The 25276-nt window shown below is 35.1% G+C and overlaps 1 long non-coding RNA gene across 1 annotated transcript; it reads left to right on the top strand.

Moving 5' to 3' along the window:
* The first annotated feature begins 1221 nt into the window (after nt 1-1221).
* On the top strand, nt 1222-23629 carry LOC102724145 (uncharacterized). The gene is made up of 3 exons (XR_427423.3): nt 1222-1507; nt 1796-1867; nt 23572-23629. It is a non-coding gene; the product is annotated as an uncharacterized LOC102724145 (long non-coding RNA).
* Nucleotides 23630-25276: the final 1647 nt, after the last annotated feature.

Here is a 25276-nt window from a genome sequence, read left to right as displayed (position 1 = left end):
GAGACGCTCTGTGGCAAGGATTTGCAGAGCTGGTTGATGGATTATATAAAGCTCCTAAGCAAGGGCAGTATAGTTTTCTCCTGTCTACAGCTGTGTGCATGTCCTATCTTCACTCCACTTTCTTCCTCAGTATGTTAGAATATCATGTATTTATTAATCAAAATGAAAAGACAAATGGGGAGCAGGGGTAGCCTTTTATATTTTTTTCCATGGTTCAAAGCATTAAAATGATTGAATGATACAGTGTCTTCCCTTCTGTATTTTAGTAACAGAAAATAGGTCAAGTTTGGGCACATTTTCAGCAATAAAAAAGGTAGAGTCCCTAATCTACTTATCTCTGAATAAATCAAATCACTAGTATTTACAGATTCATTACAATAATCTCAAAAGTAACATTTTCTATATGGCCACAAAGCTATGCAATTTGTAACATAAAAAATCCAAGCCCCTTAAAGAGGAAAATAGTATCCAAATGAATCCCTCCATCTAAAGGCAGCCAACTTCTAATCTGGGCTCTGGGGAAGGAAGGGTGGAAAAAAGGAGACAGAAATAATTGGCAAGTAAAAATGTAAGAAAAGATCAATAAAGAAGAGAAAGGTAGAAGACAGGACAAGGGTAAACAAGCAAATATAGTTTATAGTTATTCAGATATAGGAAAATTGAGTCAAAGCTGTCAGGACTATGAAGAGGTTCCATGCTGCAGCTTATAAATCAAAATGCTATGCTTTAAAATAAGATGATTTTTTGAAATTATTAAACTAATTCTTAACTTCATCTTTATAAAATGACATTTTCCCCATTTTTTCATGTTGATATCTCCCATTTTGAAAACACCAAATGTATACATGAGAATAAATGGACCTGACATAATGTGACCTAGAATATTACAGCATTGGAGCAGTTATTCGGAGGCAACTGCATAATACGTTTATTTTGGATACCACACATCACTAGGGTGAGTATTTGTTTTATAGTCTTGGCTTCTCAGCCTGACTCTTATCCAAGTTGCCAAGTGTAACATCATCCAATTTGTAACTCAATGTTTCATCAACAGTGTTCATGTTTTGTAGACATACAGAAAATAGAAACCCTTGAAACTAAAAAGTGTCAGGATTAATAGGGCTGACATGAGATTCAGCACTAAATAAATGGCCAAGTTCCCATGAAAACAACCACTGTGTCCTGTGTTAATTCTGTTTTTAGTTAACTTTGTCTTCCTGCCTAAAAACATGTAGGTTTTGTATCATTCTTAAGTTGCTGTAACATTGAGATGTGAAATTTGGAGGATTCGAAATAAATGCAGCTAAATGGAACTTTTGGATGAAGAATCCCTGGTTTGTTCAGATCTGTTAAAGTAATAGGGGAAAGCACAAAAGGATCAAGAAAAGGAAGGCCCCAATCTTTGTTCGATGACTGATAAAACAGCATTACTTGGGTGAAAATTGGCCTGACCTTCACCTACAGGATGCTTCCGCTGCCTCAGTGATTCTTGCTTCGCTCTGATTAGGTAAAGATTGCCCCTTTCCCTGCAAGGAAAAGTCAAAGAACAAAAAGAGGAAAAAAAATCTTGACTTAACTATAAAAGGTTTATTTTTTTAATCACAGTTGGGCTCATCCAAGCCAGTTTCTAATCTTATTTTTCAGGCTTAAAAAAAAAAATGCCCTGCCTTTTAAAAGAAATTCTTTGGATCATTTTCTTTACAACCTCTAGTCTAGATCTCAACTCACATTTCTTGGATGTATTTTTTTTTTAAATCTTCCTCACTTGAAATGATAGCTTTTTTATTTCTTTTAGACTCTCCTCTAAAGCTCTGCTGGGAGAGGACGGCCGGAGAAAGACACAAGTCTCCCTCAGCTGGCTGGAACAGTAAGTAGAATGCAGTTGGCAGAGTCCTGCCAATGTTCCAAGGAAACTTGAAGCAGTTTCCCACCCCCATCCCCACCCCTCAGCAGTTGCCCATGGAAGACAGAGCTCCATGGAACCATGGTATTAAGTTTCAGACTCTGCCTGTTCATATAGACCAGAGCTTTTCTGTGACATTACTGTCAAGCAGCCCCCTGTGTGACTAATATTTTTAACAGCGTGATATTTAAAATTTGACAAGGATATAATAATTCATTCTTCAGATAGTCAACATACTACGAGAGTAAGTCATGTCTTCAAAGTATCTTTCAAAGGGGCTATTAAAAGTAGGTTAAATTTTTTCCCCCTACAGCATGCAATTTCATTTTGGCTCCACAACTTCAACCACATAAAATTAAATTTTGACTTGAGAGTGACCTGCTGAAAATTAGATGGAAAAATAAGGGGATAGATTTAAGATACTGATTCAAAGAAAACTAGCATGTCTGTCTGCAACTTAACATGCAGCACACTAAGCTCTCTGAGAATCTTATGTTTCTGGTAGCTAGTATTTTCCTCTTAGGATTCAGATTGTATTTTTAATGAAAATGTTGTAGAACTTAATGGACTGTAATCTCTTGTTGTGATATATAGATGTAAGGCAACACAGGAAAGAATTATCCATGTACATTTTTTGTCACAATTCTCCTCTCCTTGTGACCTTATGATACAGCCATCCAGAGCAACTAGACATTCTCTAAAATGAACTATGTTCTTTAAAACTCCTATGAAAAATGAAGCCAATAAACTTCTGTGATTTTTAAAGTGCTTATCTCAAAAGAACATCTCTCCTTTGACATTCCTTTCCCCAACCATTAACATTTATTCTAAATAGTTATAAAAATGTGATATTGAAGACTAATTTTAGAGGGGTATAAGGCAATAGAAATTAATGTGATTATCCTAATAACAGCAGAATGTGAGCATTTAGAGAAGGCTTAGAGATACTTACTGCAGAGCTGAGTAAGTGATGTATTATGATATATATACATCATATATATATCATATATATATAATCTACTGAGTATTATATATTCTACATATTCTATGATATATTCTACTGAGATCAATGCAAATCACAAAAATGTCGTGTGATATTGCACAAACAGATATTTGGTATCTTTCATTTTGTCCTATTTTAATTACTAAATTTATTTTCCTTTAAAAGCTCCTATATTATATATACACACACATACACATTATACACACACACACACATATATATATATACACATACACACACCAGTCATGATAGGCTAGGTTGTGCCGTGGTAATAAGCAACCCTAAAATCTCAATGATTTAACACAAAAAAAGTTAAATTTTCAATCAGGCAAGTCTACTGCAGTCTCCTCAGTCACTCTTTATAGCAGCTGTACTCCATGTGTTCACGCTGCATTCCAGCTTGCTTTCCTCTTTCAACACACATGCTTCCATGGTCACCTCTGCAGAAGAAGAACAAGAAGAGAGTTCACGTAATTAAAGGCTTCACATAGCCCTTATGCTCAAATTTCATTGGCCCAAACTTGCCACATGGTTAAAACCCAACATCAATGTGGCAGAAAAGTGCAGTTTTCCCATGGACCTCACAGAAGATAAGGTCAAGAGATTGGTAATCAGCAGTAATGCCTATCAATGAATGAAGACAGAATTTTACAATCAAATTAGTTTCATTTATTCTTTCACCTCCAATCATGCTCCTATTTACTAGGGGCCATATCATTATTGTTAAGAGCAAAATATATTAAAAAGCCAACTCTACTGGAGTTCATCCACACATACTGATTGCTATGGTGTGAATGTCCCTGCCAAAGCTCATGTTGAAATTTAATTGCCATTTTAGTGGTACTAAGGGGTGGGCCCTTTAAAAGGTGATTAGGTCATGTGGACTCCACCCTCATACATTAATTAGTGCTATTGTTGCTGGAGTGGGTTCTTAATAAAAAGATTTTGTCCACCATTTTCTTTCTTGCTTGCTCACTCATCATGTGATGTTTTCCACGGTGGGATACTCCTTGCCAGAGGCCTGCAGCATGATCTAAGACTTCCCAGCCACCAGAAAAATGAACCTGTGATTTTTAAACTATTCAGTCTGTGATATTCTGTTATGGCAACAGAAAACGAACAAACACACTAATTTATATTGCTGTTATATAAACAAAGAATATCATTCTTCAAGGTGTCAAATGTTTTTAGAAACCATATATATCTGTTTAATGTAACCTTTCACAAAGCATCCAAAGTATTAGGAAAAAGGAGCCCATGTAACAAGAATACGCTACAAAATTACTCACAAATAAGAATAGCCTAAGTGAAACATGGGCTAAATTGCTTTCAAAACAGGTTAATATTTTTCTTTTCTATTCTTTTATGGTGGAAATATGTACACTATACCTGCCAATTTTAACTGCTTGGCAATTTTCCCAAGAATTTACTCATGCCACGTATTTAATGACAAATGTATCGGCATCATCTAAGATGAGAATTGAGATGCTCAAAACTGCAGTCAGTATCTCCTATTGCTTTATACTCCATCAAAGATGATGCAAGCTGACTTCAAAGGCAGCTCAGTACTTGCATCAACTCTGCAGGGATGTTGAGTAAAATGAGAAATGAAAAAAAAGGAACACCATTATGTTTTGAATTTCAAGACCTAAATCATTATTTCCTAGCTGTGCATGAGGTTACGTAGACAGAAAGTAAAATGACAACTGGTCATGTCATTGGGATGATGATATAGGAGGATCAGGAAGCTTAAGAAGAGGAATATTTTTTAAGTCACATTAAAAAATCTCTCTCCCCTGGTGTTCAGATATTCCTAGGACATTTTTCAGTGATGGAGTGACACTCGGGTACCCCCATAATGCCCAGGTGCCTGCTGGGGATTGACCTGCTTCAGAACTCTCTTCTCAGGAGCAATAATGTGCTACCCCTGAAGATAATTAAATGTGAGATATCCAAATAGTCACTTACATCTGCTGTTGGGCCTCAATTTCCCACTTGGCACTGTATTGACAGTGTGAACTTTAATGGCTTGAAACAAATTCATATGACATTCCTTTTTTTAAAAAAAAATCTCCTTTTAAAGTGCCTAAGTAATTAGTTATAATCAATTTCTAATACAATACTCATATGGAAATATTTGTGTGTGTGTGTGTGTGTGACAGAGAGAGAGTGTGTGTGTGTGTGTTTTTAGTGACAAAATGCAAAAATAATTTATTGTACTAATTCTGGGTACATACTGAAACAAGAAAGAATTCATATTTACTTGAAAAACAAGAATGCCTCTGGATTTAGTTAAGTATCTTAGTATAGTAATATGTGATTTATAACGTTCCTGAAAGTGTTTTTACAGCATTACTTTTGAAAAATAAATGAGGAAATTCTCAGCTAAGGCTGTACTTAAATTATGGTGTGGTGATACAGCATAAAGCACTAGAAATTCACAAAGGCAAAATGAAACTGGCAGGCCTTAACTCATTGTGCTTCTCATCGTATTGGAAAAGAATCATTCTTTGCTATGAGAATTTGGCCACTCTTTTTGAATTAAAATTTCACCTTAGGTGAACTTTAAAAATTCATTATATAATGGCCTTTTATTTACTCTACAATTATGCAAACATACATGAACACATATGTTCATACACCCCATATAATCAGATGTATGGGGTAAACAGACACCACCATATCAATAGGTTATCATTTTAATGAGGCATTACAAGAAATCTTGATACTACTTCTCGGTCTCATGAAACGTTAATGATTACACCACTGTTATATTTCCATTCATCTGGAGCTGTTTCTGCCATTTACTTTAATTCCTCATTAAAGTATTTAGTGTTTTCTTCATTGATATTGCTGAGAAACCCACCCCCTTTTTTTTCACTATAGTTACTGAGCTGTATCTTTTGTTGCTTACATATATTTACTTTTAGGACTATGACATACTCTTCAGATCAGTGGTTTCCAAGGCAGAATATATGCAACTTAGCAACTGTTCAAGTCAATTCTGTTAGTTTGTGCTTCATAAATATATGGTATATTACATATAAAATATATGTTTTTAATTTTTTAAAAATAGATATTTTGGTAATGTATACTTAAATGTTTATAATGGAAAGGATGCACAAATGAAAATACTTACAAATCACTAGCCCAGATATATGCAAAGCTTGATATATTTGTTATACTTTTTTAAATAGCCAAATACAAGATCTAGTTTAATATTATTACAGAATAGGTATATTTAGTTTGTCAGTGGGAAAAATATTGGCATCAAATATTAACACTTTTGTCAGGGGTTCAGCATAACATCACTAAGAAACTAAAACTATTCTAATGGACACGCTTCTCAGATGCCCTATTTTTTTTTAATGCAGTATTTTATTTCTTTTTTTCTCTCCAGTTTTTTTTTTCTAATTTTACTTTAAGTTCTGGGATACAGGTGCTAAACGTACTAGTTTGTTACATTGTTACATAGGTATATATATGCCATAGTGGTTTGCTGCACCTGTCCATCTGTCATCTAGGTTTTAAGCCCCACATGCATTAGGTATTTGTCCTAACACTCTCCCTCCCCTTTCCCCCTACCTCCCCTACAGGCCCTGCTGTGTGATGTTCCCCTCCCTGTGTCCATGTGTTCTCATTGTTCAACTCCTACTTATGAGTGAGAACCCGAGTTGTTTGGTTTTTTGTACAAAGTACTTTATCTCTGAAATTAGATGAAAGCTTTGCTATAGAAAACTGGCTTTACATATATGGCTGTTAACTAATAATTTTACATTCAAATACATCTAAATATGACTAATAACTTTCTGATTGAATACTCCCTCATCCTGTTATGTAGCAACAAAAGGTGTTAAATGTAGAGTAAGCATGTCAATGAGAAAGGCCTCGCCTAATCCAGAAGCACTGGGACTTGGTAAGCGTCATTTAACGTTTTATCTTTGTATCTTCAAGAAATCATATTGTATTGCTCCAAATTTGCAAATGAATTTTGATATAAACAGAATGCCAAAGGTTATTTTAAAATAAACATGCTATCCAGCTAGATTTGTGAGTAAAAGGTGATTTCCTTTTCACTTTCAAAGAGACTAGAAGATAAAATTATTGAAATGCTCTGCTGTTACAAGATGATATTGTTTCTCCTTTAAAAACATATCAACTGTCTTAATAAAATTCACAAGCCTCTTTGCTCTACTACTTAAAATAAGAAAATTTTACAAAATTTATGTGTTATTAGAGCAGCTTCCCTCCTTATTCCAAAAATACCACAGTAGTTTTACCTTCTCCCCCTCCCCTTTCCTTCTGTTTCCTCTTCAGGTTTCTCCCTCTTTCTTCTTATCTTCCCCTCACTGGTTTTCTCCGTCAGAACACTGAATATCGGATATAAGATAATGTTTTCTTTTCCAACATTTTCTTCTTGAAACTATAGTCTCTTTTCTCTGAGAAATTTCTTTTACATGATAGATTAGTCTGTCTTTTTTTTATTAGAACAATATTATTGAGTTTTAAAACCCCTGGTATTTTCATTATTCTGTTACATATATTCTCCTGCCCCCAAATGAAGAAACAAGTTTAATGAGTATGGACATTGCATCAAGCTGGAGAAATGAGGCTAAAAGAAAATGAAGCCAAGAATAAAAGGTGCTAAATGCTATGTTCCCCACAGAGCATAACTCCTGAAGGAACTAAGAAAGAACAAAGTTTCATTCTGTTGAAGAAATTAGGCAGGGCACCAGAAGAAATGTGGGACCTATAAGGATGGATAGGTGTCACTGGGATTAGAAGAGGGTATGTGTTAAAAGAGGACATTAATTTCAGATAGATGGTATGCCCTGGGCCTGATTAAATTCCAGGTCCCAAGCTAAACTGCCGATAACCTTGCTGCCCATTTCTACCTTCACCTTCTGAGACCCTTCCATGGAAACAGAAGGGATCCACATATGATTTGGATATTAAGACAATAGATATTTATTGGGCACCTATTGTGTTCTAAGCACTATGCTGTTAAAGCTATATCAGTGAAAAAAGAATAGACAAAGCCCTTCTTCTCCCCTCATTATCTACTCTTCCCTTTTAATATACTCTTATTCCATTTGAGACTAGAACAGCTTCCCATAAAAGTCTATTACTTGAATTTCAGAAAATATTCCAAAACACCACAGCTATGTATCACTCTTACTTGAGATGATTGGTGTCATAGGCTACCATAATATCCATTAAATATCCTAAAGCCTAACTTAACTTTTACACTGTATGTAGTTTGGCATTTAGACTGGGAAATGCCCTGCCTGTTTGCAGTAATACTATCACCAAGCTGCCAGCCTGGCTCACCTGTTACAATTTAATAAGAAAAATAAATGATAGCAGATGTTACCCATGGTTACATTAAGAGAATTGCACCCCTTTAGTTCTAATCAAGCCAATTTTTCACCCAGCTGAAGATATGTCACTTTTAGAGGGTTCTGAATCAATGGGAAAATACTTGCTTAAGCAAAGAACCCAAGAGAGATAACCTGACCACCCCTGGGGGAAATAGTTCTTATAAGTTCCCACAATTTGATATGCTAGTCTGTAAAACAGTGAGAGTTTTAAAAAAGTATATATTCTGGTTAGTATGTAAATGAATGGAACTTCTTTATGTCTTTCATTTGCATGCAGTTATTTAATAAACATTCTTTGAGCAGATTATATGGAAAGACCTTTGAGCAGTAATGCTCAGAGTCCTTACAGTCAAATAACTTACTGTCTGGTGGAAAGAGACCTTAGAAACCTGTGGAAAGTTAGATTTAAAAAAAAGTTAAAACCAATCAGGCAAGATTAAAAGCCAAAATCTGATGAAGTTGCCAGACTTGGATATGAATCTTTGTGACCCTGTAAAAGTTAATTAATCTCTCTGATTAAGAGAATAATTGTTATAACGATAGGTTCAAAAGAAGCAGCTGTGAATTTTGGATTTTGGGATTTGTTTGCTCTTAACTATATAATAAGCCTGAGCTGATATGAGTGGGCTTTTTCATATGGTGGCGTCTCCAGTTAACTATCTTAAGATGAAAATTTATTTTTCTCTTTCTCTCCTCCTTCACTCATTTCTACAGAGTGTTACTTTGTGCTTGATATGTGCAGGACAAACTTAGAGCATGCCATTATTCATTCAGCATGGCATTTCCCTGTGCCAGCATCCAATTCTCTTGATACCACTGATTTCCAGGTCACCCAATGATCATGCATGAAATTTCCAGCCCTCTTGAATAACAATTACTGTTTGTAATAGACAATCCAGAGAGCAGATTCAGACCCTGATGCTCTATTTTCAACTCACAACATTTCAGAACGTCTACAATGGTGGTTCTCTAGTCCAGAAAAATGGCAGCTGACTGGGCTATGTAGTTAAGAAGCCAAGTTATCACTTCAGAAGCCAAGTTATCACTATAATGGGACAATAGCTTGTGAAGCCACCCAAATATCACCTTGGGTTCCCCATGTTGTGGAAGGAACCTGGTGGGAAGTAATTGAATTATGGGGCAAGTCTTTCCTGTGCTGTTTTCATGGTAGTGAATGAGTCTTATGAGATCTGATGGTTTTAAAAATGGGAGTTTTCCTGCACAAACTCTCTCTCTCTTTTTGCCTGCTGCCATCCATGTAAGACGTGACTTGCTCCTCCTTGCCTTTCACCATGATTGTGGGGCCTCCCCAGCCACGTGGAACTGCAAGTCCATTAAATTTCTTTCTTTTGTAAATTTCCCAGTCTTGGGTATGTTTTTATCAGCAGCGTGAGAACAGACTAATACAGGTGCCTTCCTTATTCTGTCTCATACTCCAGGTTTTCTGTGTCAGTGTCAGGAGAGACGCTATGGAAACAAACAATTGAGGCAAATCTTATGATGTTATCCTTATGTTCACAGCAAACTCAGTTCCCTTCAAATGTGACTTTGACGCAGGGCACATGAGAAAGTAAAACCTTTCATAATTCAAGTTCTTCCACTTCTAAGCTTTTTCAGACTTCAGTATTCAACTATAAGTGGCTGAATTATAGTTTTGCCCTGACCAAAAAATAAAAAACAAAACTGGTCTATTACCAAGTCATCTCCAAATTTATCTTCCCCTTTCCAATATTGAGAAAATATGGCAAACACCTCTGTTTGCCCTTCCCTTCCCATAAAACACATAGTCTCCACATTGATATCCTGCTCAGCTTATTTCCCAGTCCCTCTGTTACTAGTTATGGACAAAAAGTTTATTTCTCATCAGTGACTATACAAAGAAGTGAAGTGTGCAACTTCTGCCATTTATTTAAAATACATTAGCCATGGTCATACTGTTCTCTTAGTCTTCCCATTTGGTTAATAAATAAATGGAAATGTCTTGGGTAGTCCTGGAAATCATATGTAGAAAACAGATTCCTAGAGCTTCAAAAATGTAGCTTGTAGACTAATAAAGAAGAAAAGAGAGAAGATCCAAATAGACATAATTAGAAATGATGGAGGAAATGTTACCACTGACCCCACAGAAATAAAAATAACCAACAGAAATTACTATGAACACTTCTATGCACACAAACTAGAAAACCTAGAAGAGATGGATACTTTTTTGACACATTCATCCTCCCGACCCTGAACTAGGAAGAAATTGATTCCCCAAACAGACCAATAACAAGCACCAAAACTGAATCAGTAACGAATAGCATGCCAATCGAAAAAGCCCAGGATCTGATGTATTCACAGCTGAATGCTGCTAGATGTACAAAGAAAAGTGGTACCATTCCTACTAAAACTATTCCAAAAAATTGAGGAGGAGGGACACCTCCCCAACTCATTCTATGAGGCCAGCATTATCCTGATACCCAAATCTGGCACATGCACACACACAGACACAAACACACACACACACACACACACACACACACACACACACACACACACTCTTCAGGCCAATATCCTTGATGAACATGGATGCAAAAATCTTCAACAAAATTCTTTTGTGAACCCAATCCAGGAGCACATCAAAAAGCTAATCCACCATGATCAAGTAGACTTCATCCCTGGGATGCAAGGTTGGTTCAAAATATGCAAATCAATAAATGTGATTTATTACATAAACAGAGCTAAAGATAAAAACCACGTGATTATCTCAATAGATGCAGAAAATACTTTCCTTAAAATTCAACACCACTGCACGTTAAAAACTCTCAATAAACTAGGTATTGAAGGAAAATACCTCAAAATAATAAGAGCTGTCTATGATAAACCCACAGCCAACATTATACTGAATGGGGAATAGCTGCTTTTCCCTAAAAAACCAGCACAAGACAAGGATGCCCTCTCTCACCACTCCTATTCAACAAAGTATTGGAAGCCTTAGCCAGAGCAATTAGGCAAGAGAAAGAAATAAAGGGCATCCAAATAGGAAGAGAAGAAGTCAAACTATCTGTGTTTGCAGAAGACATGATTCTGTATCTAGAAAACCCAGCCTTGCTCAAAAGCTCCTTCAGCTGATAAACAACTTTAGCAAAGTTTCAGGATACAAAATCAAAGTACAAAAATCGCTAGCATTTCTAAACACCAACAACAGCCAAGCCAAGAGCCAAATCAGGAACAAACACTCATTCACAATTGCCACAAAAAGAATAAAATACCTAGGAATACAGCTAACCAATGGAGGTAAAATAGCTCTACAAGTAGAATTACAAAACACTGCTCAAAAAAATCAAAGACATAAACAAATGGAAAAACATCCCATGCTCTTGGATAGGAAGAATCAATATCATTAAAATGACCATACCTTGCAAAGCAATTTACAAATTCAATGTTACTGTTATCAAACTACAATCACATTTTTCACAGAACTAGAAAAAAAGCTATTTTAAAATTCTATGGAATCAAAAAAGAGCCTGAATAGCCAAGGCAACCCTAAGCAAAAAGAACAAAGCTAGAGGCGTCATGTGACCTGACTTCAAACTATAGGGTTACAGTACCCAAAACAGCATGGTACTTGTACAAAAATAGGCACATAAACAAATGGAACAGAATACAGTGCCCAGAAATAAGGTCACACACCTATGACCACCTAATCTTTGACAAAGCTGACAAAAACAAGCAATGGGGAAAAGACTCCCTATTCAATAAATGATGCTGTGATAAGTGCTAGCCATATGCAGAAGATTGAAGCTGAACCCCTTCCTTATGCAATATACAAAAATCAACTCAAAATAGATTAAATACTTAAATATAATACCCAAATCTATAAAAGCCCTGGAAGACAACCTAGGCCATACCATACCAGACACTGGAATGGGCAAAGATTTCATGACAAAGATACCAAAAGCAATCACAACAGTGGCAAAAATTGACAAATGAGATCTAATTAAACTTGAGTTTCTGCACAGCAAAAGAAGCTATCTTGGGAGGCTGAGGTAGGTGGATCATCTGAGGTCAGGAGTTTAAGACCAGCCTGGCCAACATGGTGAAACCCCGTCTCTTCTAAAAATACAAAAATTAGCCAGGTGTGGTGGCACATGCCTGCAATCCCAGCTGCTTGGGAGGCTGAGGCAGGAGAATCACTTGAACCCGGGAGGCAGAGGTTACAGTGAGCTGAGATTGCACCATTGCACTCCAGCCTGGGCAACAGAGCAAGATTCCAAAAAAAGAAAGATGAAAGAAAGAGAGAAAGAATTATCAACAGAGTAAACAGATAATCTACAAAATGAAAGAAAATATTTGCAAACTATGAATCTGTCAAAGGTCTAATATCCAACATCTGTAACAAACTTAAACAAATTTATAAAAGGAAAACAAACAACCCTGTTAAATAGTGTGCAAAGGGCATGAACAGAAACTTTAAACAAATATATGCAAACAAATAAATAAAACTTTAAATAAATATATGCAAACAACAAGCATATGAAGAAAAGCTCAATATCATTGATCATTAGAGACATGCAAGTCAAAACCACAATGAGATACCATCTTATACTAGTCAGAATGGCTATTAAAAAGAAAAAAATGGCCAGGCCCAGTGGCTCATGGCTGTAATACCAGCACTTTGGGAGACCCAGGGGGGTGGATCACTTGAGGTCAGGAGTTTGAGACCAGCCTGGCCAATATGGTGAAACTCTGTCTCTACTGAAAATACAAAAATTAGCCAGGCCTGGTGGTGGGCACCTGTAATCCCAGCTACTCGAGAGGATGAGGCAGTAGAATTGCTTGAACCTGGGAGGTGCATGTTGGAGTAAATGGAGATCATGCCACCGCACTCCAGCCTGGGCAGTAGAGCAGGACTCAGCCTCAAAAAAAAAAAAAAAAAAGTCAAAATATAACAGATGTGGAGAGGTTACAGAGAAAAGGGAACACTACCTATACACTGTTGGTGGGAGTGTAAATTAGTTCAACCATTGTGGAAAGCAGTATGGCAATTCCTCAAAGAGCTAAAAGCAGAACTACCATTCAACCCAGCAATCCCATTACTGGGTATATACCCAGAGGAATGTAAATTATTCTACCACAAAGAAACATACACATGAGCATTTATTGCAGCATTATTCACAATAGCAAAAACATGTAATCAACCTAAATGCCCATCAATGACAGATCAGATAAAGAAAATATGGTACATATAGTCCATGAAATACTATGCAGCCATTAAAAAGAATGAGATTATGTCTTTTGTGAGAGCATGGATAGAACTGGAGACTATTATCCTTAGCAAACTAATGCAGGAACAGAAAACCAAATACCATACATTCTCATTATAGGTGGGAGCTAAATGATGAGAACTTACGAACACCGAGAAGGAAACAACAGACACTGGCATGTATTGAAGGGTGGAGAGTGGGAGGAGGGAGAGGAGCAGAAAAGATAACTATTGGGTACTGGGTTTAATACTTGAGTGATGAAATAATCTGTACAACAAATCCCTGTGACATGAGTTTATTACCTCTGCAACAAAAATCCTCACATGTACCCCTGAACCTAAAATAAATTTAAAAGAAAAAGGGTAGCCTGTTGACTTGCATCCATCACTACACATTAGAATCACTCACTGAGCTTCTAAAATGTACTAGCAGCTAAGCATCAATCACAAGATTCTGATTTAATTGGTTTGGTTTGGGTCCCAGGATTTATCATTACTGTGTTGTTGCAGATTCTGCAGTGTTTCTTTTCTTTTTTTTTTTTTATTATACTTTAAGTTCTAGGGTACATGTGCACAACGTGCAAGTTTGTTACATATGTATACATGTGCCATGTTGGTGTGCTGCACCCATTAACTCGTCATTTAGCATTAGATATATCTCCTAATGCTATCCCTCCCCCCTCCCTCCACCCTATGACAGGCCCCGGTGTGTGATGTTCCCCTTCCTGTGTCCAAGTGTTCTCACTGTTCAATTCCCACCTATGAGTGAGGACATTTTGCAGTGTTTCTAAGGTGAGAACTCGAACAGAGTCCAATGCAGGCAGTGTTTACAACCTGAATTGCCCTTCCTTGTTCATCCTTTCTCCTGAGATGGAAGCTACACTGTCTTCAAGACCGAGATTTATCAAGTTTATGCCAGTACAATTATTTACAAATAAGTAAAAATTTTCTGCCTGTGGAGCCTAGTTGAGATGAAAGATTCTTTTGAGAGAATTAGAATTATTCATTTAAAGTGAACAAAACAAAGAAACGACATTCTCTTCTGTTACTGAATTTGTCTTCACACAGGTCTCTTTGCTTTCACTCCTGCCATCTCCACACACCACACAGCAGCCATATCAGATCACGACCTTCCTTTGCTCAAAGCCCAGAAATGACTCTCCATTTTAATTGAAGTAAAGCCGAAATTTTTACAAAGTCTTACAAGGTCTCACAAAACATGGTCCCTCTGACCTATCACCTACTTCTTTTCCCTTGCTTACTGTGCTCCAGTTCTATCAGCCTCTTTGCTCTTACTGGAGCATGCCAAACAGTCACATTGCACAGACTTTGCCTCTGCTGAGAATACTCTTCTTTCCCAAATAGTCAAGCAACTAGTTATCTTCACCTCCCTCAAGTATTTGCTCAAATGTCACCTTTTCAATGAGGTCTGCCCTGGCCATCCTACTTAAAATTAAATTTCCCTACTTTTCAACACTTCCAAATTCCCTTTTGCTGGGCTGCTCTATTTTTTTTTTCTCTTGTAAGTTATCACCTATTCTTACAGATTGTAGAATTTAGTTGTTTATGATGTTTATTCTTATTGTTACCTTACAGTCACTAAAATGTATGCTCCAGGAGGGCAGGGATTTTTTTTTTTTTTGGCTAGTTTGTTCATTCCTGTACCCCAAATCCCTAGAACAACATAGAGCCAGTACTCAAACACTGAGTGAATGAATGAATAACATTTCTAACCCATGGTAGAAAACATTTCTTTAAAATCATCCATGAAGAGTTCAAAGAACTATAAGAGATTTTTGCCCCTAAGAATTTCAGTCCACAGTTTTGATTTTGGAGGTAATAAGATGGTGTCAATAGAGTGTGATTTGCAGGCCTCCAAGTATAATTCTCCCTTTAAAATGCCTTTCTAGACACACACACACAAGCACACATGTTCAAACTACACTTCTCTCCTTGCTTTACATTAGCACTGAATTCAGACCACTTAAGCCTTTATAAGCTGATACTTAAAAAAAACTGTGATAGAGAGCAACATGCTAGCAGGAAGAATCAATGAATGATAAGTCTGGAAACGGAAGAGGCAGAATCTCAAGAGGGCACAGCAAGATCTATAGAAAATTTGCTTGCTTCACAATATTGCCTATAAATGACTGATTACACAATTATATTTCAGTCAAGTAAAAAACACCAGAATCTTCTGTGACACAGTGCCCAGCACATAGTAGGGACTCAATAAATATTTGTTTAATGAATCAATAAAAGAAGATTCATAAATCATAAAATGATTTATGATTGTCTTTTTATCATTTACCCTTCCCTATAAAAGAAGATCTCCTTATTTAGACAAATATGCTCACCCACAATGAGGCTATGAAGTGAAAGGATAAAGTAAATGTTTCAGCATTAAAACTATGTGAGATATCTTTTGAAATCTGTGCAGTATCTTCCCCATCTGTACCTGCTGTGCATAATTTCAGAATTCACTGCTTTCATCAAGAAAACCCATTTGCTCTTTCATCTGTGCATCATATCACACTAATTTTCATCAAAACCAGAAAAAACCTTGATGGACCACCAGTCCCCAGGTTTCCTGGAGCATTTACCTGTCTTTCTCTGGCATATACAGAATTATGCTCTGAAGTCTGAACTGTGGAAATTTTTGGTTGTTTTCATAAGATGTGGTTAGCGCTGTGTTTATTTCTGGAAAATTGACATGTTAATTATTGATGACTATTTTCCTAGAAAGCCTCATGAATTTCATGTTTGTGCTTTATTTCATCTTTAATGTCCTTACTCCATTTTAAACCACCACATATAAAAAATACAATACACAAAAATTCTTTTACATTAAAAAAGTCAGTGGTTAAATAGTTCTGTGTATCAGCCACAGCTAGTAAGTTTTCACTTATAGTAAACCATTACTTTATTTCTGAAAGTTTGCTGTGTTTCATGATGAAATAAAAACTCAATCTGGATTTATGTGATATTTTTGACGTAATGGCGTCATATGAAATAGGGAACAGTCTTTGGTCAATGTTCTGCATCATCTAATCTTAAACATTTGAACCATGTTAATGAAATAGCCAATGGTCTGTGTGGTTATGAAACTTGAATCTACTGCAGTTGTCACACACAACTTCATATGTATGCAGATTGACCTAGTCCACAGAAGTAGAGAGACCCCCAAATGGAGTACAGATACATTTTTAAAATAGTGAAAAAAACTTAAAATAGAAGTGTTACAAATATGACATCTTCTGCTTACATTAGGTAAGCTCAATTCTAAATACAAAGAAATGGGGTCTTTACAAAGTATGATTTGTGTTTCTTGAGGCTCTACCAGCCAGGGGTTACAAATATATAGATTATACTAATAAAATTTTAATAATAAAAATGTAAATGATAATTTAATTTATTAAATTAAAAAATGATACACATTTAACATTTAATTTTTTACATTTAATAAATGTTTACAGCTCTGTAATCTATAGCTCTGACTTTGCGTTCTATCTTTTAATGAATTTCTCAGCTCCCCTAAAAATCTCTATTGACTTATTTGTGGAGTTCTCCAAGGGGTATCTGCTAGGTGCCAGCTGGCTTTGTGATCCATTCTTGCTTAAACTTGAATGCTGTTTCATAATCTGTTGCCAAGGATGCTGAAGGTAACAAAGCTGCTCCAGAAGTTGGTGGTGCTCACCAAGGTCTACTTCAATACTGCTAATATGTATTGCCAAGAGTTCTGTTTCTGCAAAAGCTAAAATAGCTATAGTATGGGCACTGATTGTCACCACTGGGAGCCTTAAGCACTGCTTCCTACATGCATAGAAGCTGCTAATAAGTCATGCATTTGGCAAGGCCACATTATATATTCTGTAACCTTCCTTGTTCTAAAACACTGATGTGTTACATTCCAAAGTGGTATGTATCACTCTCCACCTTTTGAACTTCACTGTTCTGAATCCTTTCAGTTTTGAGATTTTTGCTCTCAAAATCTTGACTTTTCAGTTACAACCTCCATTTGTTATAGTTCTGGCTCATATGCCTTAGTGGTGAATGGTGTGCATTTTGGAACAGAAGAAAACAAATGAAGAAACTATTTGGGATTGTCAATAAAGAAAGATGTTATAAACTAAATAGCTTCATTTTTTCACTGCCTTCTGTGTCAGGGAATCACTAATCCATTGTGTGCTTGATCCCTTTCTTCCCACAGGATGAATTCCTTCTAAAGGGGCTTCAAAACTCTCTATAAAGTTTAACCCCTTGGAAGTCCCGCCCTTAAGTCTCCCCAGTTACTGCTGTACACATTAGCTCAAGTTAAGAAATAAGACATCATCACAGCACCTTTAACCATTCATGTAAAAAAAGTTTCAGATACTACAGGTTTCATTCATAGAGTCTCATCCAAATATAGGATTATTATGTGGCAGCTACAGTGACATAACAAATCTCAGGTATAATTTGATATTGATTATGTATTGGGAATTTTTAACTATCTTTTCATAACAAGAAAATAATCCTATTTGGATCATCATTTTCATGTTAAAAGGTAGAGAATTTAGTACACTAACATCACTAAAACAAAGAAAAAGTACAGAAATTAGAACACTGAGGAAGAAGACATGAATTTTGCAGAGAATGGAAGACCAACCTTAAAATTATTGGTATTCCAGAGTGAAAAAAAATATGGAAACAAGCAAAATAATTTATGATGTAATAAAAGAAAACTTTTCTGAGCTACACAAATACTTCACCCTACATATTAAAGGTAATAAGTAAGTTTAAAAACAATGATGTATAATCAAGTGTGTAACTTAAAAAAAATGTACACATACCTGACTGCAAATCCCTGAAAATTCTGACTTACTGAGAATGGAATGGTACCTTGATAACTACATTTTCAAATTTTTTCACAAGGGATTCTGATGAACATTTATAGATTGAGAAAGATTCTTCTAAGTATACGTTTTACGTAAAAGAATAAGTGTATACCCACTTTCTAAGTAACAAGAAGGAGGAAGAAGAGGAAAAGAAGGAGAAAAAACAAGCAAGAAGTAAAACTTAAAAACAGAGAAAAGATCTATATTCTTCAGATTAGAATATTCTTAAGAAAGAAAGAATGTCTGGGTAGAAAAAAAGAAAGATTGCTCTAATAGAAAAATAAAAATATAAAGCTCACTTTACACAAAAATCAGTGAGATGCCACCACATACCTACCTAAATAGTTAAAATTAAAAAGACTGTCAATAGCAAGTATGGATCAAATGTGGAAGAACTGCAACTCCTATACACTGCTAATGGGAATATAAATTGGTAAAATGTCTAGGCAGCATTTATTAGAGCTGAACACACATATATCCTATGACACAGAAATTGTACTCTTTAGTGTATTATACAACAGAAATATTTGCATATGGGCACCAAAGGTGTTCAAGAATGTTCAAAGTAGCATTGTGTGTAACTGTAAACAGCTCATGTTCATTAACAATAAAATGGTTACATAAATGATAATACATTTCATTCGTACAATGGAATGTCACACAGTAACAAGAATAAATGAACTACAGCTACCATAACAGCATGGAATAATCTCAAAAATAGGCTATTAAGTTAAAAGAAAACAAACACAAAAGAATAAGTACTGTATAATTCCATTTTTAAATAGTAAAATACAAAATGTTTGTGAAAACTTATCTAGTTATATGCTCATAATTTGTGTATTTTTCTGTACTTACATTATTCTTCAATATAAATATACTTAAACAGTAAGTGCCACAAGACAGTAAAGTAGTGTCTACCATGCCTTTAGTTAAAAGGGGTTGGGAATTTTATGTATCTATCCATATATTTGTCAGTATATTTCAATTTGTCTTATTTAAAACAGTAAGTTAGTTTTCTTATTTAAAACAGAAATTTGTTAGATTTAAGTATGCTAGATTTTAAGATACACACATCTATTTTTCCTAAGAGAACTCAGAGATGCCATTCCAGACAATAAATAGATGAATAAAAATTAAAACTCAAGACTGAGAAGCTGTACTGTAAAAGTTCTGGTAAACAAAAAGTAAAATTAAATTCAGAGCATCCACCATAAGCAATTATTATTAATAATGTTGTAAAATAAATAAAAATTTCAAATTCTTTAAAAAAGTCTTTAATTGCATGATGCTCTTTTTAAGACACAACAGATTTTACTTTTATATATTTGTCTCTTATATGTATGTGTGAGTGTGTATAATTATTTGTACATCCTTTGTTCTACGGATATAGGATCAGAAATTCATCTTGAGTCAATTGCCTTTTTAAACCACAAATGAAGCTCATGTTCCTGAAATATGTAAGGGTGGGGAGAAAGAATCAAATATTTTGTACTTTTGAGGGTCTAGACTGATAGGTAAAACAATAAAAACAGAACAAAAGATTAAATGACAGCTATAGAACAGATGAGGAACTCTTTGTAAGAGTTCACAAAGTGAAGAGTAAGAGACAGTGTCTAAAATTGATTGAACAAGAAATAAAATGTAACAGAAGTACTTAAGGTTACAAAAGTAACAAATAGAAAAAAGAACAGTAGTTTTATGCATATCTACATCAAAATCAGGAAGAGAAGAGGTGAGGTGGAAGAGTGGTTTAAATGAACTAAATTATTATTTTAATATGAAGTCAACATATATTGTATAAAATTAATAAATCAATAAAATATAGTTATATAATTTAGGATACAAGAATTAATCAGTAAAAAATGGTTATTATTATTATAAGTGGGTTTATCTGCAAACGAAGATGGTGTGGAGAATGGTGGTCAAATATAATACTGTGTTTAATTATGCTCATTAACTATTTTTCAAATGCAGTGCTAAATAATAAAAAAGTAATAACATTTGTATTCATAATACTTACATTTACTGAGTATTATTTTATGTTACTACTGTACTAAACTTTTAAACTTCACTATCTGATTAAATATTCATAAAACTCTATGAGGAAGTAAACCTATATTCATTTTCCACTGGAGAAAACTGAGGCTTAATGAAGCTGAGTAACTTTCCTAAGGCCACAGAAATGGTAAGGAATAGATATATCCATCTTCCAACCCCATACTCTTAACCACTTTGACAAACCAACTCTTCTGAAGAAAAAAAAAAGTAACTATTACAAAAAAAAACCTCTAAATACAGTACATATTTATCTATTTAACATATAATAATTATATCATGTAAACCCTTAGTAGCTGTTATAAAATTGTCTATGCAATTTGAATCAAACAAATATAACTTTTCATTCTCTAAATCAGTTAAATATTCTCCAGTGCATGGATGGAAGAAAATTAAGTAATGACTATACTTGAAAGGAACTTACTTCCTTTTTAGAATCTTGCCAGAATTATAAAATGGGGCTCATCTTGGTGCTCTCAAGAACCAGTGAGGGGATCCTGGGCTCAAGTACACAGTGGTGACCATCACAACATTGCTCTTTCTGCTACCCAGATTTGAGCACTCTTGTCTGGGCTAACTCAGACAACCTGCAGTGGTTTACCTGAGTAACTACCAGACTACAGAGGGTGAAGGTCAGAGTGCCACTTCCAGCCTCTAGCAATCCTTGGTCAAAGTGCCTGAATGTCCTGACAAATTTTCCTTGCCTGATCTGCTCCAAGTTTGGAAATTCCTCAGCATCTTCCTTGAGATCAATCTGATGAGTCCATTTCTACTCTTTCTAACCCTAGAGTCCCCTTTTACCAGACAATCAAACACAAATATCTCATTAGGAAAAATGTTGCCTGATGATATCAATAATTTTGTGTCAAAATAAGCTACAATGTTGAAATGTTGGCTGTCTTCTTTAGATGAAGGGATATGGGCAGGGGAGTACCCACTGCACTGAGAGAAAACACAAATCAGTATCTCAGTAAACTAATCTGCCTCAATAAGACTAAAAAGGAAAGCTGAGCTAATCTTATTATTGACCTTTCAAAAAAAAAATGAAGAGATATATGTGAAATTATATAATATGTGTACACATTTCCAGACATGTCCTCATCTGATTCTTTAAGAGAAACAGAATAGTACACCAAAATGAATATACCTGATGAGCCAAATTATGGAATAAATATCTGTTCAAACATTATTTTAAGACAGAGTTTGGCAAACTATGACCCACTGGCCAAATCCACCTGTTTTGTAAGTCCCATAAGCTAAGAATAGTTTTACATTTTCAAGTGACTGAAAAAAATTGAAAGAAGAATAATATTCTGTGACATGTGGAGGTTTTATGAAATTTAAGTTATAGTGTCCATAAGTAAAGTTTTATTGGAACAGAGTCCTGTTCATTCTTTTATGTACTGTCTGTCACTGCCTTTGTGCTGCAACAACAGAGTTAGAGTTTCAACAGGCCCTCAAAGCCTCAAAGCCTACTATTTACTATCTGGACATTGACAGAAAAAAAATTGCAATCTCCTGCTGTAGGGCAAGGAAAACTTTCTGTGTCAATTATCATCTACTAGTAGTGGAAAATTAACACTGTCCTATCATAGAGCTCTAATGACATCATTACCGTATCCAGGCAAATAACTTACTAGAGGTTATAATGAAGATAGACACACACATACATATACTCATGGATGTACATGCATTCGTACAAAATATTGTTTAAAATACAGTAAGCAAATAATTCATTTTTGTCTTATTAATATTTAAATATATGCTGGATATACCTCAACTTTGTTGGAGAAGATTATCCCTCCCAGTTTGGTTATTTTCGATAAAGAAATAATTGCCTCTGTACAAAGACAAGCATATCCTGCTACAGCTGTATCAACAGAATATTCTTTTCTTTTGGAATGCAGCTGACATTGCATGTCAAGTTTGACATACTTGGCCAATGATGCAAAATATGACCTCCATTGCCTATGACCATAAGCTTAGAAAATTTCCCCTGAACAAAATTTTTCTGGGGGAAGGGGAGTAGGCTGAAGGGCATAATTATGCTTCTTTTATTTATGATTCTATAAAGTATTTGATGTTTGACTGAACACAAGAGTGTTCAATCTTCTAAAGCATATTTTTCTTATATAGATTCATGTAAGCCTAAAGTTTTGTAATTCGAATTACTACTAAAGTACCCATGGCCAATATGAGAAAAAAATGCTGGAGGATTATTTTCTGTTGAATTAAGAACTTTCCTCTACACAACCATTTATTCAAATAAACACTATTAGATTTTAGCATTCATAAGTTGTCTAATTACATAAATGTAATAAAAATAGTGTTCCCATTTTCCAATGTCCTCTTAAATAATTCCACTCAACCCTCTCAACTCCACATCTAAAAACACCAGCAACAAAGTAACCCTCAGTTAATCCAATATTTTTTATCTATACTAGCAAATACCTTGTCATTTTAAGTTACTATAAGAAGAACATGCTACATTTTGAACTCCTCTTTGTTTTACTCCGAAATATTATAGTTGGCCTATAGTACATTCACAAGCAGACAAGCTATATTTTCCTACTACTAGAAGAATTAAACAAAATTTATATTCATATTTATAACTAGAGCCTGATATGCACCTGTCTAAATAAATAGCCGTAGCTTGATTTATATTCTCTCCAAAGAGGTACTAAGACTGAGGCATTCGTTAAATCACATTCTCTATGCAAGCATTAACAAACTGAAAAGCAAATTTAACTTTAACCATAGTTCCTGGTAAGAACAACGATGCAACTGAATTATTACTGTAGGTATTAAAATATTCTCCTAGTAGATCTAAATCACAGGACAGTGAATGAAGACCATTTTATATGGCCTTTTACTTCTTTGACCTATGAAAGTGTCCTATGTTGCTTATTTTGAAAGTCCATTGTGAGATGTTAAATAAATCCTTTCCCTGTTGACATTGTACAGTTTTAAGTGATAAATATACTTCAAAGAAAAAAAGACGTGTAATGCTTTCTTCAAGTGACACTGAAAATGCCTCCAAATTTGCCTAATCACAGAGGGACTCTAAATGTGTAATTTCTCCTTAAACTTCCCTTTTCTCTTTACAGGAAACATCACTGAGTTACACCAGGTCCTATTTGCCATCCATTTCTTCTTTTTGCCACAAATAGAGCATCAAAATAGATTGTTCATTAGAAGGAACACGTCCAAGCTATTGCCAACCTATGTTGGCACCTAAAGACATTATATGTGGTTTCCTCTTAACAAAAAAAGAAAAAGAAGAAGGTTAAGAAACTAAAAGCCCAGAATCTCTGAAATAAGTCTACACAACACCCAGTTTTTTCCAGTTACTCTGTATGAAATGTTATTGTAAATATAAGTTCCAGTAATGCATAACCTTAAATTATTGTTCTGAAAGATCAGCCCAAAGAATATTAAAAGTGTTTTCAACATACTCCATTAAAAAAATAAAAATAAATAAAAGTGCTAGAATTTCTCTTTCTTCTGACTTCAAGTGTTCAAGAGAATCACATCGATGGGACAATGGAAGCAGTTATTTGGATGCATGTTGCAAATCTCCCATCTCCGACTTTATGATGGATGTCAGTGAAGTTTGTGGCTGGATAACAGTAGTCCTACATCAAGGAGATTTATGGAGAGGATGCATTTAGTATTATTCATGAGCCACTTAACAAGCGTCAGCAAAGGAAACAATATGGCCTTTGTTTATAGTCCCAGGAGTTCTTTAGAGGGCTTTTGAAAATTGAAGAGATTTTCTGATAAATGGTAGAGGATCTTTAGGTGGGCCTGAAAGCTGTAAGTGTATTTTCCTGTTAACTTGAAGAGTACTACATTTCATCCTAACTTCCCTGTTTCCTCAATAAAAAATTATCAGATATTCTGCTGGTATTTTATTGTGCTATTGTTCTGCTACATTAAATAACCAAGAGGGACACATTTTTAAGAAAAATGTTCATTTCACTCTCTATTACAGGAAGTTGGAGCATCTTAACAGGCTATCCAGACTATTTGAACAGAAATGAAGCAACATATGTTCAAAACTGTCTCTGATATTATATTCTTTATGTTTATGACCCACATCTTTCTCAACGAATTGTTATTTATGACAACTTATGTGTATAATAGTTCTGACTTAACCAAGAAATTTAGTTCTGCAGCTAGCTGAAAGACTTGGGAATCAGACAGTTGCATTGGGTGACTTGGTTGAACTAAATTAGGAAAAAAGATTTCACTAAGATTATTAGTGTTAGAGAAAATAGTGATGAAACTGATAGAACTGTTAACTAAGGGTAATCAATGACATATTTAGATAGATTTTCTTAATTATTATTTTGTAAGATTGCTGGTTTTCTAAGCAATTTGCAACCAAAGAAAGTACCTTCAGAATCTGATCATATTAACAAGCAAAAAATAAATATTTTTTATTGTAATAAAAGTACAGGTTCTGACAATTATTTCATCCTACCTAATCCTTAAAATGATTCCAGAGGCCAGGTGCAGCGGCTCACGTCTATAATCCCAGCACTTTGGGAGGCCGAGGCAGGCAGATAACGAGATCAGGAGTTTGAGATCAGCCTGGCCAATATGAAGGTTGCAGTGAGTCGAGATCGTGCCACTGTACCTGGGTGACACAGCAAGACTCCATCTCAGAAAAAAAAAAGAAAGATTCTGGAAGCGTGTTTATTCAATCCATTTTATGGCCGCTTTGTGTGCATTCTTAGTGAATTGGAGTGCTTGAGGCTACAGATTGCAGTTTTAAAAATAGACATATTGCTGGAGATAAAACTCCAT

The sequence above is a fragment of the Homo sapiens genome, chromosome 3 (assembly GCF_000001405.40).
Source record: "Homo sapiens chromosome 3, GRCh38.p14 Primary Assembly".
Lineage (NCBI taxonomy): Eukaryota > Metazoa > Chordata > Mammalia > Primates > Hominidae > Homo > Homo sapiens.
The sequence above is the reverse complement of the archived record's forward strand: the minus strand, read 5'-3'. Positions and strand labels throughout refer to the sequence as shown.